General features: G+C 48.2%; 1 protein-coding gene across 3 annotated transcripts in view, besides 2 other annotated features; it reads right to left on the reverse strand.

The window, feature by feature from the left end:
- Positions 1 to 14,941, reverse strand: part of SLC4A5 (solute carrier family 4 member 5) — a 127,175-nt gene that overhangs the window by 25,016 nt on the left and 87,218 nt on the right. For all 3 annotated transcript variants that reach the window (NM_133478.3, NM_001386136.1, NM_021196.3), the window contains 8 exons: positions 14,518 to 14,675; positions 13,362 to 13,449; positions 11,717 to 11,871; positions 10,922 to 11,131; positions 9,086 to 9,260; positions 7,096 to 7,229; positions 5,779 to 6,050; positions 737 to 795 (listed from right to left, as the gene is read on the reverse strand). In NM_133478.3, coding sequence (NP_597812.1) covers positions 737 to 795; positions 5,779 to 6,050; positions 7,096 to 7,229; positions 9,086 to 9,260; positions 10,922 to 11,131; positions 11,717 to 11,871; positions 13,362 to 13,449; positions 14,518 to 14,675 — 1,251 coding nt within the window. The remainder of the gene's footprint in view (positions 1 to 736; positions 796 to 5,778; positions 6,051 to 7,095; positions 7,230 to 9,085; positions 9,261 to 10,921; positions 11,132 to 11,716; positions 11,872 to 13,361; positions 13,450 to 14,517; positions 14,676 to 14,941) is intronic.
- Positions 9,045 to 9,214: an enhancer, noted in NCBI's record as "active region_16049". NCBI's record gives its function as "activates an Ori minimal core promoter by ATAC-STARR-seq in GM12878 lymphoblastoid cells {active_cell/tissue: GM12878}" and the evidence as "EXISTENCE:reporter gene assay evidence [ECO:0000049][PMID:35858748]".
- Positions 9,265 to 9,324: an enhancer, noted in NCBI's record as "active region_16050". NCBI's record gives its function as "activates an Ori minimal core promoter by ATAC-STARR-seq in GM12878 lymphoblastoid cells {active_cell/tissue: GM12878}" and the evidence as "EXISTENCE:reporter gene assay evidence [ECO:0000049][PMID:35858748]".

The following is a 14,941-nucleotide window of genomic DNA, read 5'->3' on the forward strand; positions in this document are numbered from 1 at the left end:
TTATTATTATTATTATTATTATTATTGAGACAGGGTCTCGCTCTGTCACCGAGGCTGGAGTGCAGTGGTGCGATCTTGGCTCACCACAACCTCTGCCTCCTGGGTTCAAACAATTCTTGTGCCTCAGCCTCTTGAGTAGCTGGGATTACAGGTGTGTACCACTACACCCAGCTCGTATCATATTATTAATACACATGAGGGGGCCAGGCGCGGTGGCTCACGCCTGTAATCCCAGCACTTTGGGAGGCCGAGGCCGGCAGATCACTTGAAGTCAGGAGTTCAAAACCAGCTTGGCCAACATGGTGAAACCCCGTCTCTACTAAAAATACAAAAAATTAGCTGGGCGTGATGGTGCGTGCCTGTAATCCCAGCTACTCAGGAGGCTGTGGCAGGAGAATTGCTTGAACCTGGGAGATGGAGGTTGCGGTGAGCCAAGATCACGCCACTGCTCTCCAGCCTGGGCAACACAGTGAGACCCTGTCTCAAAAAAAAAAAAAAAACGCACAAAAAAACATGGATTTAACAGAATGAGGCATGTTTTTAAGTGGGATGTTTACAGTATATACCTAAGAAAAAAGTGTTCATTTACAAAGCTCTGCAGGTGACCCTGACGTGCAGCTGGAGTTGACCTCTGCAAGTCTGGGAGGCCATAAGTTGGTCTCATTTCCAAAATCTTTTCTCCCTCCTCCTACAAACAAAAGCACTCAAATGTCTAACATAAGAGGAAAGGACTTACCAGAGAAGCGTTGGTGTCTGGTGCCAATGGGGCTGAAGCATTGAACACGGTTGTATTCACTGTGGATGAGCACATGACACGGGGCAGGGTCAGCAGCTGTGGGGCTGGGAGCTGCATTCCCAACCCCTTCCCATCTCCTTCCAGTTCCTTAGAGCCAAGGCCTGGCTTCCATTGTGAGGGCAGCTCCCTCTCCACCTTCCTCACTTTGCCCCAGTTAGGGAAGGGCTGGTGGGACAGAGCCTGGGCCACAGCTCTGACAGACCAGCTGGGCCAGGACAGCACCTGCCTGACCACGAACAGCTGGTTTTAAAAACTGAAATAAGGAATCTGGAGCCAAGACAAAGTGCTAAGACAAACTGGAGGATAACGTGCCTTGTGAATCTTCACCGGCCACTGGGCTTTTAGACTTAAAAATGTTCAAAGAACTTACTCTATGCCATGCCCTATGCCAAGCCTTTACATATATTCATTTGTTTAATTCCCAGATCTTCACCAAGTATGCCCACTTTACAGATGAGGTAACTGAGGCCCAGAGAGGTTATGTAATTCATCCAAGGTCACACAGTTCATACTCGGAGCCATGATCCCATCCCAGAAAGGCTGGCCCAGAGCCTATAAACTTCCCAGCTCTACACCATGAACTTCCCTGCCCTGTTCACCTCCACAGATACGTCCCTTCCCTTCCAGCCTCTTTTTTTGCCCAGGCTGGAGTGCAGTGGCGTGATCTTAGCTCACTGCAATCTCTACCTCCCAGGTTCAAGTGATTCTCGTGTCTCACCCTCCCGAGTAGCTGGGACTACAGATGTGTGCCACCATGCCTGGTTAATTTTTTGTATTTTTAGTAGAGATAAGGTTTCACCATGTTGGCCAGGCTGGTCTTGAACTCCTGACCTCAAGTGATCTGCCTATCTCAGCCTCCCAAAGTGCTGGGATTACAGGCATGAGTCACTGCACCCAGCCCATATGTGCTTTTTATTAAAGGTCAGCTAGGCCTGAAATAACTTGTTGCTTTGGTATCTTTTCTAATCTGCCAAATGCAAGTTGAGGAAAGTTAAACCAAAGTCCAGGTCCTGAAGCAGAATCGGGAACCCAAAGGTGCTGCTCTCAGCGGCTCTCTCTGCATTCCTTGCTGGGTACTTCCCTACCCTGGCCTCAGTGTCCCTAACTGCATGTGGATCACATGACGGTCTACAGGGAGAGTTTCAAGGAACCACTGTTGCCCGTCTCTCCTTTCCATGTGGACCCTTCTGCTCCCCCGTTCTGCAGTCTGTCCTTCCTTTGCTCCTCATTCACAGGGCCAGGCTCCCCTGGGATGTGGCCACCCATAGGAAGTCAGGCTTTGGAGGCCTGCTGCCCTCTCTCTTCTTCCTGAACTGCTACGTTGCTCACTCCCAGGCCTGCTGACGCTGGGTGGCTAAGGAATTCCATCTTGACCCAGGGCAGAATATTCCTAGAAGCTCTACCAACCCAGAGGTTTGTTAGGATTGTTCTGAGGAAGGCTTCATTTATTAGAAATTGGGGTTCTATTGCCTTTCCTCACATCAGTGACCAAAAGAACATGATGTGCAATTAATGATGGAGACAGAGAAGCCGGGCAGGAAGGCTGGCTCAGGGCTTCTCATTCAAATGCTAGAGAACTCCTGGCTGACGCTTGAGCCTGGGGAGTTCAGATGTCTTTTTCACTACCCAATGTCTTCAGACCACCTTTGATGTCTTCTGCTTATGCTTATCAATTCTTTTATATCGAGAACTCTGTAGGGTTTATCTGAAAGCCACTTGAGATGAATATGAAAGAAATATAACATGGAAAATTTCAGAAAGGGTCCAAGTATCAAACATTTTAAAATTCCAGTGTTTACAAAGTGGTACTCACTTGGGATTGAAAGCAGCCAAATCAGTGTGTGCAGCATTCATAAATAGAATACAAATCAGTTACAATGGAAGCAAAAGCAAATTGAAAGAGAGTGCCCCCAAACAAGCTTTTATGATGAAGAGTGACAAAGAGTGAGAGTATACTATAGTAAGACTGGGCTTCGCAGTAAAACTAGGAATATGGGCCCATTACTAAGTAGGTGGCCCATGGACCGGGAAAGAAACCCTCCACAGTTCTCCCCCCTCATCCCAGTCTCCTAAATGTGTAGAATTTTCCTTTCCATGTTATCTTAATCAAAACTAACTTGTTCTAGTTCTAGTTCCTTTACTTTCTGTGAAGAAACTGAAATTTTAATCTTACTGGGGTTTAGTGGTCAATAACGGCCCATTATTACTAACAGTTCAATAGAGCAATGGTTCTCAAACTTAAGAGTGCATCAGAATCAATTGGAAGATTCAATATACATCTGCTTGGACCCTACTCCAGAGTTCTTTCGCTTGTTTGTTCGTTCCTTCCTTCCTTCCCTCACTCCCTCCCCCCTTCCTTCCCTCCCTCCTTCCCTTTCTTTCCTTTCCTTTCTTTTCTTTCCTTCCTTTTCTTTCTCTTTCTTTCTTCTCCTTTCTCTCTCCCTTCCTTCTTTTCTTTCCCCTTTCTTTCTCTTTCTTTTTTCTCTCTTTCCTCCTCTTCTCTTCTCTCTTCTTCTTCTTCTTCCTCCTCCTCCTCCTCCTTGCTCTCGCTCTCCTTTTCTTTCTTTCTTAGAAATAGAGACAGGGTCTGGCTATGTTGTCCAGGCTGGTCTCAAACTCCTGGGCTCAAGTGAAATTCCTGTCTCAGCCTTCTGACTAGCTGGGACTACAGGTGTGCACCACTGTGCCCAGCCAGAGTTTCCGATTCAGCAGGTCTGGGGTAGGAGGCTACGAATTTGTATTTCTAACAAGTTCCCTGATGCTGCTGGTCCAGGGACGACATTTTGAGAACCATGACAATAGCATGACCCCAAAGAATGAGGTGACATCAGGCACCTGGGCAAAGCCAGAGGGGAAGCTATTTGGGAACAGGTGGCTTCATTATGTCCCTCATAATGCACCTTATATGATCCTATGGCCCTTGTTCCTAGAGCACCCCGGGTTTGTTTTTTCCTGTGTATAGATGATTCTCAGAATGGCCAAAGTGGCCAGGCACGGTGGCTCACCCCTGAGTTCCCAGCACTTTGGGAGGCCAGGGCAGGCAGATCACGAGGTCAAGAGATCGAAACCATCCTGGCCAAAATGGTGAAACCCTGTCTGTACTAAAAATACAAAAATTAGCTGGGTGTGGTGGTGCACACTTGTAATCCCAGCTACTTGGGAGGCTGAGGCAGGAGAATCGCTTGAACCCAGGAGGCAGAGGTTGCAGTGAGCCGAGATCGCGCCATTGCACTCCAGCCTGGGCGACAGAGTCAGACTCTGTCTCAAAAAAATAAATAAAATAAAAATAAACAGAATTTGGATTTTTTCTAAAAGAGATCAAGGATGTGTGCTTCTAGAAGCTATGTTTGTGTAAAATTTACGTCAATGCAACACTGAATCTACAGTCTATAAGATACAAGCACGTAGGAGGGCCCTGATGGGGCTTCCCCACAGAGGCAGGATTTGCTCCAGGGCAGAATGAAAAGGGCCTGCCTGCAGGTAGGATCCCCTCTGGGCAAGCAACATGCCTTGGCTCAGAACAAAGGGTAGCATCACCTGTCATTAGATTTTAGTGGAATAACTCAAAATTAATGACAGAAAAAAAGAAAGAAAAAAGTCTGGACTTCTTTACAAAATCAGTGCAGTCACAGAGAGAAGGGGTTATAATCAAAACTGAACTCTCTGAAGGCAGGACATCTTTATCTTCCACAAGGCCTAAAGTAGGGCATACAATAATTGTGCAGCAAATATTTTCGATTGACTTATGATTTTTTTTACCCGTAGTAATGTATTAAGGGGCTGAACCCACTATCCACTTATTTCCTTCAACTCAATCGGGGTATAGATTTGGAAACCCCACAGGAGTCCCAGGAGACCACCAGGGCCCGCATTGAGACCCCTCTTTTACAGCCAGGGAAACTGAGGCTTGGCATGACCTTGGGTGGTCTCTGGACCTCAGTTTGCTCTCTGTGAGTCCAGCCTTGGTGCTTGGAGATGTGTGCATAGACCTCCTGCTCCTGCTCTGCAGCACCCTGGGCACTCTGGGCACATCCCACTGAAAGCTCTTAGGGGCATGATCATGACTATGGAGGAGGCTCAGATGCTATGGGAAGCCCTAATTTACAGATGACAGGTGTTTTGGCCAGAAAGTAACTCCACAGGAGTGGCACTGGGTGTTACCAGGTTGACCCCATCTGTACAGGGATCCTTTTTACAATATCCTTGGCAGATGGACATCCAGAGAGTGTCCAAGTAACTTGCTACCAACCAAGGGGGCCGAGAACTCCCATGGTGGTTAACGCCCACCATTGTAGGTTCTTTCCTAAATTCAGCCAGCATCTGGCTTCCTGGAGCTTCTGCTCCCTGTTCCTCATTCAGCTCTACATCCTGTGGTTTCAGAGGGTGAACACAGCTCCTTTGTGACATGACAGTCCTTCTCTCATAACTCTCATATTCATAAGAGGCTGAATAAGCCCCGGTTCTCCAACTGTTCTCAGATGGCATGGATGACAGAGCCTCCACTCTGGACATGTTTCCATCTGTGTGGATGTCCATCCCTCAGGTGTGGTCTCACCTTACACGGTATGTGGCCACACGGGCAGCTCTGTCTTGGGGAGAGCTCATCGTATCATGACTTGATGGAGCTGGGCGGGACTTCAGGCACCATCAGTTCTATCTCTGGCCTGCAGCAGGAACCCCTGAGTGGCACTCCTGATAGGTGTGGCCTCCACATTACCCCACACTGAGGCAAAGCATGCCTTACTCCTTCCTAGGATATCCCTGTGCCCTCCTGATGACAACCCTGTGACTCTTATTAGAGCTACTGTCCCCTTGGTTTCCTTCCAAACACTGGGTTCAAGACCCTGTATTTGCTCTCTTGGAACTGTAAGCCCTTGGCTGAATGGCCCCTCCCCAGCAGTAGAAGTAGAGAGCTGTGGTGAAGGATCAGGGGGCCGGTGGGGTAGGTGAGGGCCCACGGCATGTCTGGGGTTACCGGTCACCTGTGTCAGGGGCGACACACTCGCACTTGTAGGTAGTGATGAAGTTTGGCTTGAAGTCCATATTGATAGGGTAGTACTTGAAGGCACCGATCATCTTCTTGATGGCATCGTAGATGAAGATGAAGCTGATAAGGGTGGAGAAGCCCTCCTCGGTGAAGCGGGTGATATATTTGATGATAAAGCTGGCATCTGTGGCCACTAGGATAAGGCACTGGACAGCTGAGTGTAGGCCAATCCAGAGGCGGAACTCCATGTAGTCCAGGCCATTGCCTCTGGAAGGCAGAGGGGAGGTGAGGGGCCTCCAGCCCAGGGCTCCTGGCTGTGCTTGACTCCTCAGACTCATCCTTAAGTGGCTTATCTGTCCTCCTGTGGCACTGATGCCCTCCCAGGGACTGTGAAAGACTGGGGACAGGGACAATTCTTGGGCAGAGTTGTCTGATCTTTGAGATTTCATGGGGGTCCAGTGTTCATCTTTATAAGAACTTTTTTTTTTTTTTGAGAAAGAGTCTCTCTCTGTCACCCAGTCTGGACTGCAATGGCGTGATCTTGGCTCACTGCAACCTCTGCCTCCCTGGTTCAAGTGATTCTCCTGCCTCAGCCTCCTAAGTAGCTGGGATTACAGGCACCCGCCGCCACGCCTGGCTGATTTTTGTATTTTTAGTAGAGACGGGGTTTTACCATGTTGGCCAGGCTGGTCTCAAATTCCTGACCTCAGGTGATCCGCCCGCCCCAGCCTCCCAAAGTGCTGGGATTGCAGGTGTGAGCCACCACGCCCGGCCAAAAAAAAATTTTTTTTAAAGATCTTATGGAGGAGGCAGGAAGGTGCCAAGACATCTCAGTGCTCACAGTTGGTAACAGACACCAGAGTGAGTGAAAAACAGGGAATTTTGGAAGAACAGGGTTGGAGCAGCCCTTGGAAATGGTCTGGTCCAAACCCTCATGTTGTAGAGGAGGCAACTGAGCCTGGAGTAGTGATGGGAGCTGCCTGGGTCTGGGTGTAACCTTCTGACCTTCAGCCCAAGACTTCATACACTATACTGCCTATCAAGTCACCATTGCTCACAAACTGAGTGGTGTGAATTTTCTCCTCTTGTCGTGGCTGGTCCCTATGGGCTGTGCCAATATGCACTAAGATGTCTTAAAGGCAGGTAGCTGGCAGGAGTCAGGAGGGGCCACCTGGTAGCCCTTCCCATAGTTAAAGATGGCTTTGGCACCACCGCACCACCACCTACCCTTGGGACCTATTCCCCTGCCCTAGCCCCAGCATACTGCCCCAAATGCGAGAGCAGGCACTGGGGGCCACCAAGGGACACCTACTTGCTGAAGTCGAAGAGGAGCTTCTCAAAGATGAGGATGGGCCCCGTGCTGCTGAGAATGATGAGAGGCTGTCCCGAGAAGAGGCAGAACAAGGAGCCAGCCATGGCAGTGCCCAGGAAGCTCTCCATCACTCCCTGGGGGCACAAGGAATGTGTGGTTCAGCATAGGAAGGAGAAGCGGTCTCTCCACACAGGCTGCAGCCCCAGCGATCTCTCCACGGGCCCAGGCCACAGTGTTTATCCTTCGTTCTGGGCCCTTTCCTCCCTAAATCCTGTTCTCCATCTCCTACACCCTCCACAACTTGCCACCATGGCCATTGTCACTCTGTTTAATTCCATCTAGATAAAGGTACCATGTGACTTCCTTCTGGCACCCAGGGCCTAGAAAACAGTGGATGTGCTTTTCTCTGTGTCCATTCTACTCCCAGAGGACAGCCCATTTATCCATCTGATTATTCATTCATCTAAACATCTGTTTGGTGCTTTTAGAGGTCAGATCATTCATTTATTCAAAGTCCGCTGAGTGTCTGCTGTGTACCAGGCATTGTGAAAGGTATTGAGAACCCATCACTGAACAAGATAACATATCTTCATTCCAGTGGGAGACACAGGTAAGTAACCAGGCAATTCCCATATAGCAGGGTTTCTCAACCTCGGCACAATGGACATTTTGGGCTAGATGATTCTTTGCTGTGGAGGGTCTGTCCTGTGTATTGTAGTGTGTTTAGTAGCATCCACAGCCTCTACACATTAGATACCAGTAGGAACCCTCCTCCCAGTTATAACAATGAAAACTGTCTCTAGATATTGTTAAATGTCTCCTGGGGTGAAAATTGTCCCTGGTTGAGAGCCACTGCCAAGAGGTGTGCTGGGATAGGTTTAGGGTGCCACAGGAGCACGCAGTAGAGGTAAAGATGTAGTCAGGAAGGCCTCCCTAGAAGTAGATAAGTGGAAGCTGAGATCCAAAAAATGAGCAGAGAATTGGCCAGGGGAATAGGGTTAAGTGGAGTGATAAGAAACAGTGTCCCAGGAAGAGGGAATAGTGTCTAAAAGGTCTGGAGCTGAAAAACAGCATGTACTTGAAGAACCAAAAGATGATCAGGATTGATGGAAAACAGAATGTAGAATGGTTGGGGAGGGTAGGAATGCTGAGAAAGAGAATGCTGGGAGATGAGGCGTGAGAGCCAGGTAGGGCCATGTGGTGAGGGCCACATGGGGCAGCTGGGACTTATGAGTCAAGGATAATGCTTAGTTTCCGGTGTAGACAGCTGGGTGAACCACGGTATCACCTGCTGTGCTGGGGAAGGGCAGGGAGCAGCACGTCAGGAGGGAAGATAAGGGACGCAATGTCAGCTGTGTGAACTGGGGGATCCTGAGGGGCAGCCATGGGGAATCCTGAGGGGCAGCCATGTGGACATGCCCAAAAGGCAGCTTGACAAATGGGTCTTCTCCTTGGGGTACTGAGCTTTCCAATGGCTCTACTTTGAAGGCCTCCATTGGAGAAGACCCTTGCCTAGGAGATTGGCAGGTGTCTGCTGAGCTGTTTTCCCCAGGGAGGCCTGAGTTGTTGTCATGGCAACAGCTTACCATCCTTCTAAAAATGTCTTAACTCCAAACTAAGAATTCAAGGTTAGTTTTTAAAAAGTGTGGGGAGAAGGCCACAATTAGCACTCCATTAATTGTGCTGATTAAATTCACTCCAGCATCAGTGGGAAAAGTACCAAATAACACAGCAGATGATTCCCCTTAACGGTTTGACCTATTTAAATAATCATTAAGTTTGGTCTTTAGTAATGAGATTTAGCTTCAGATCTTTTAATATTGTCTTATTATATTATTATTACTTGAAGCGTAAAGGATTACAAATAGTGATGGCCTCAACCTGGATGGTAGATGAAACCTTGGTTTTGGGATTACAGGATGAAGCTTCCTGCTGCCACCAGGTGGCGGCAGATCTTACTTTTACACTCAGGGCACCGGCTCGCACACACCTGATAATTGTCGGTGGCATCCCCCAGAAGCCCACCAAAGGTGATCGCGTTGGTGATACAGCCGAGGTAGATGAATAGGATGGCAGAGATGGACTGAATGTGGAAGCCATCATAGAAGTCACTTGGGAACCAGGGCAACTTCCTCTTGATATCCAGACACAGGCCACCGAAGAACCTGCTCAAGACAGGCCCAGGGGCTGCTTTCTCACCACTAACACCAGTGCAGGGGCAGGGCTATTTACAAGAACTTGCAGAGTCTGGGGCGAGGAAAGGAACTTGACCAGGGTGGATGGGGCAAAGATCTTTCCACCAGAACATTTAGGGCCAGGGATGAATTCCTGTAGGACTGAGTTTGTGGTTGGCACCACCCACATTGGGAAGGGTGGACATAGAGGGTTTTGGAGAGGGAAAGTCTGATGGGAATATGTCCTGGGGTAGACCTAACATTCCATGGAGAATGGAAGTCCTGGGGTCCACAGATGGTGGTCCTCCTCACATCCCTGACCATCTGCAGGGTGCCTGCTCTTGGTGAACACAGGAGTGTCTAACTTTCGGTGACAGAAGCATCCCAGATTATAACAGATTCATTAAGAACAGATCCTAAACCTTATAACTGGTTGGTATTTGTTTGTTTTTTGATTTTGCTATCTGGAACAGCTGAGTGGAAGATTTTAGGTTTGGAGACACTGTTTACTGGGATTGCTATTCCCATAGCCCCTAATGCAGTCCTTAGCATGGAGCAGAGTTTCTCAACCTCAGTTCTGCTGATATTTTGGACTGGATACTCCTTTGCTGCAGGGGCTGTCCCATGCACTGCAGGATGTTTAGCAGCTACCTACTAGATGCGAGTAGCATCTCCCCTCTCCGGTTGTGACAAGCAAAAATGTCTCTGGACATTGCCAAATTCCCTGGGCTCGGGGGTAGGGGGACTAAGGAGGGCCAAAGCTGCTTACAGTGAGAACCACTGGTATAAAGCCAAGGGCATATAAAACATGACTTCATTCTCAAAGTCATGATTTATATGTAGATTTTCAAGGCCACATCCTTTCCTAAATCTAGATCAACCTGAATGACTCCAAGAGCTGGAAAAGAAACCCAGGCCAGGAGAACTTTCTCTTATTTTCTTTAAAAAAAAAAAAAGTTTTTGAATAGGTAAATTAAGTTTTAAAAAAGGTACTGTTATTGAGTTGTGTCCCCCCAAAAGATATATTAAGGTCCTAACATCTATGTAACACCTATGCAAATGTAATCCAGTTTAGATTAAGTCATTATGGTGGGCCCTATTCCAACATGACTGGGGTCCATACACAAAGAGGAAAGTGCTCTGTGAAGACAGACACACAGGAGGCCATGTGGTGGAGAGGCAGAGCCGGGGGTGATGCGGCTGCCAGCCAGGAACACCAAGGACTGCTGGCCACCACCAGAAGCCAGGAGGAGGCCAGGAAGGATTCCACCTGGAGCCTCAGGGAGCACGGTGGTCCTGCCAACACCTGCTGTGGAACTCCTGGCCTCCAGAACTGCAGGAGAGTAACCTTCTGTGGTTTTAAGCCACCTAGTTTGTGGTACTTTGTTACAGCAGACCCAGGAAACAGGCACCAAAGGATATCTAAGAGAAAAGTTTGGGTTCCTCTCCTCTTGTATGGGTCTCAAATTCCCCTCTCCTGAGGCAACCTTTTGGGGATCCATGATGGGGTTCAAGGGCTCTGGGAGGGAAAGAAGGCAGGGGTGACCTCGAGTGGGCACTACAGACCATGGTTGGGAAAAGTCCCTAGAGGGCAGCTGAGAAGGGAGAAGTCTAAAGGACAGCAGGGTCACTGGGAGGCCTGGGGTGGGCACCTTCCTGTCCAGATAAGTTCCTCCCCGATTTCATGCATGGCTGGCATCTCTCCATCATCCCCGCTGCTTGTTCCGCCGGCCCCGCCACTGCCAGCCCCGCCGCCACTGCCACCACCACCACCACCTCCATTGCCTCCTCCAGGAGCTCCGCCGCCTCCTCCCACAGAGCCATTCATCTGGCCCAGCTCTGCTAGGGAGAACACAGATTTCCTGGAAGAGAAGGGGGATGAAGGAGAGTGGGTCCCCCAGAGCACCCCTCACCTCTCCAACCAAAATTATGAAATATCTTAAAAGACAGACAAAAATGCAGAAAATTGTCTAACAATATCCACACGCAGGTCACCTAGATTTTACAAATGTTCACATTTAGCCATATTTGTTTCTGATATATCTTATTATTTTTAAACTTATTTTAAACATTATTTTGAGACAGGGTCAAACTCTGTTGCCCAGGCTGGAGTACAGTGGCATGATCACAGCTCACTGCAGCCTTGACCTCCTGGGCTCAATCAATCCTCCTGCCTCAGCCTCCAGAGTAGCAGGGACTATAGGTGCATGCCACCATGCCCAGTTAATTTGATTTTTGTTTTGTAGAGACAAGATCTCACTATGTTGCCCAGGCTGGTTTCAAACTCCTGGGCTCAAGTGATCCACCTGCCTCAGCATCCCAAAGTGTTGAGATTACAGGCATGAGCCACTATGCTGAGCCTCAGATGTATTTTAAAGAGAAATAAAATGATACCGACAGAGTTGAAGCCTCCTTTTTCTCTCCCTACTGCCCATTCTCATACACACCTCTTGTCAGCAGAGGGCACCTTCTTGGGGGGCTCAATCCGGATATTTGGGTCCCATTCTCCAGGAGGAAGGACGATGACCTCATCCAGAAATTCATCAATTCCTGCGATCAGATCTTCCCGATTGCGGGCTTTGTAGGCCACGTCACTGAAGAGCTGGCGAGGAGAGAGGAGGGAGAAAAGAAAGATCGGGTCTGTTTCTGAAATGCCTGGGAGCATATCACATCTAGTTTTTAAAGGAATCCCTTTGAACCACATCTCCCACTGCCAACTCACTCTCAGTTTTTGGAATGAGACTATAGTACATTGGTAAAATATGGCACAATGGGACACAGCAGGCACTGGGGGAAGACAGCCTCTCTTGGATCTGAAGGCCAGGTCTCCATATTCTTGCTTGTAGGACTTCGGTTAAGTTACTTAACCTTTCTGTTTTCAGTTTTCCACACATCATACATATTAGAAAACCTTTGTAGAGCCCAGTCCAAGGAGCTCAGATATTTCATAACCATTTTTTACTTCCAGCCCTTCGCCCTTGGAGGCTCAGGCCGTGTTCTTCACACTGTCTCCAGAGTGTGCTTTCTGACTTACAGATTCGATGGGACTATGCTCACATTTAACCCTTTCCCATTTAGGCAAAAAAAAAAAGTGCAGCTCACTGCCAGCACTCATTTAATTTTACATAAACACACTCTTTGAGGCCGAAGCAAATCTGACTGATTTTCAATGTGAAAATGCAATATAAAAATTATTCTTAGAATTATTTCTAAAAAGAACTAACATTGGAATCATTGGAATGATCAGAATCATCTATTTTGGAAACACTGGATTCATCAAATGAATCTTAGGCCAAAAACTGTTCGAGAATGATGTTAGCATCACTCGTAGGAATGCTAGTTTTCTAGGATTTGATATTTTCAATGATTGAGAGTTAGTGTATTTTGTAAATGGAAATGCCACAACTAAAAACAGAATGCTTTAAGTAGAATGATGTCTTTTGTTTCCAAAGTCAACATATAAGAGCAATGCAAAAATAATAATAAAAGTGAGACATTTCGTGGGGAAAAGTTATCTCAGGGTAAAGCCTGCAGCCGCAAGCACCGCCAGTGAGTATTCTTGGCACAAACGGAAAAAGAGTTAAAGTCCTCTAGGCTCCCCATCACTCTGGGGACAGAGTGTGACTCAGCTCTGCTTACAGGCTCTGTGTAGTCTCTGGCTCACCTCTCCAGTATTACCTCCTGCCCTTGAAGCTCTTACACTGAGCCTATATCAAACCACCTCCATCCAGCTTCTCTGAGCCTGATCCATTTCCTTTGTTTGGAATGCTTGCCTCACAGCCTGGTGCTGGGTCTACCTTCCTCCTGCTCCTCCTTAGCTTTAAAGCCCCCTCATCTGTGAAGCCCTCCTTGACCCCCTGGGCAGCTAGCACATGGTTAGTTTTACAATTATCAATCTGTCCCTCACACTTGATTGGTTCTCCTAAAGGACAATGACTATTCCCTGATTCTCATAATCTTTAGCATCCTATGTAGTGCCTGGTACACAGTAGGTGCTCAAATGTGCTGGCTGGATAAGTTAATGAATGAAGGTGCAGTGCTTGGTGCAGGAGCTGTAAAATTCAGGAGTACAAGCTTCTGGTTACCACTTACATCATCTACCATGAGGGTTGCAATGGCACGGCCAATTTCATTGTAGGATTTTGCTCTCCCAGAAGGTCCCAGTAGTATAAACAGAAATCTGCAAAGAAGATGGAGGAGGAGACAGAGAAGATTAAGGAAGAGGAGCATGAAAGTGAGAAGGAAAAACAGAAGCAAGTGAAGAGAATTCTCTGGCCCTGAACAGTATGCATTTTTTTTTTTTTTTTGAGACAGGGTCTTGCTCCATCACCCAGGCTGCATGGAGTGCAGTGGCGCAATCTTGGCTCACTGCAACCTCCACCTCCTAGGCTCAAGTGATCCTCCCACCTCAGCCTCCTGAGTAGCTGGGACTACAGGCGTGTACCACCAAGCCCGGCTAATTTTTTGTATTTTCAGTAGATACAGGGTTTCACCATGCTGCCCAGGCTGGTCTCCAACTCCTGGGCTCGAGCAATTCACCCGCCTTGGCCTCCCAGAGTGCTGGGATTAGAGGAATGAGCCACTGCGCTGGGCCCATTCTTAACTTTTTTACTTCCCTCCATGGAACCCTATGTTTGCTTTGGAGGAACATTTCCTCTTCCCCTCCCATGAGGCTCCCCCTTGAGCATCCTCACCTTTGTCTTGCTGCCCAAGCTTACCTGACAACTTCTCTCCTAGTTGTTGCCTCCTTCTCTTTTATTATTTATTATTTTTATTTTTTTTCTGAGACGCAGTCTTGCTCTGTTGCCCAGGCTGGGGTGCAATAGCATGATCTCGGCTCACTGCAACCTCTGCCTCCCGGGTTCAAGTGATTCTCCTGCCTCAGCCTCCCGAGGAGCTGGGATTACAGGCGCGTACCACCACACCTGGCTAATTTTTTTGTATTTTTAGTAGAGACGGGGTTTCACCTTGTTGGCCAGGCTGGTCTCGAACTCCTGACCTCATGATCTGCCCACCTTGGCATCCCAAAGTGCTGGGATTACAGGCGTGAGCCACCGCACCTGGCCTCTTTTGTTATTATTTTTAATAAACTCTAAAACTCTTCCCTAGTCAGAAGATTTCCCTTCCCAGCAGCCTCCACGTTTAGAGGTGCCTTTGAGAACACTAACAGTCAACAGCACTGCTTGCTGACTGCACTGCTGACTGGCTACCTGAGAGTGGCGTGGGGACAGGTTTCAATGGCTCTCACCTGGTGGGGACAGGCACCTCGGTCACTCCTCCCAGCATGGCCGACTGGATGAGGCGCACGAACGCGATGAATGGCTGGTCTAGGAAGTCCACCTCGCCCACGAGCACGTTGGACGCTTCTGAGTCCTTGGGGATCTTCTTCATGAATTTGTTTTTCCGCTGGACAGGGAGGGGAAACGAGATAGCCAAGGAGACTCCCACCTGCTCTCACTCCCTCACTCCCCTTCAGACTGCTTTGAGGCCTAACTTGAAAAAAATTCTCCCAATGTTGCCAAGAGACTGAAAGAATAAATAAGTACTCCTCCGATTCTGCAGATGGGGAGACTGAATGTAGGTTAACCCCAGGCACCATTAAGCCTTGTAGATGGGAAGGAACTGGCAACGACTTTCCTTGACTAAGACATTCCTTGACGGATGAAAACGGC

The sequence above is a fragment of the Homo sapiens genome, chromosome 2, assembly GCF_000001405.40.
Source record: "Homo sapiens chromosome 2, GRCh38.p14 Primary Assembly".
In the NCBI taxonomy this organism is placed as follows: domain Eukaryota; kingdom Metazoa; phylum Chordata; class Mammalia; order Primates; family Hominidae; genus Homo; species Homo sapiens.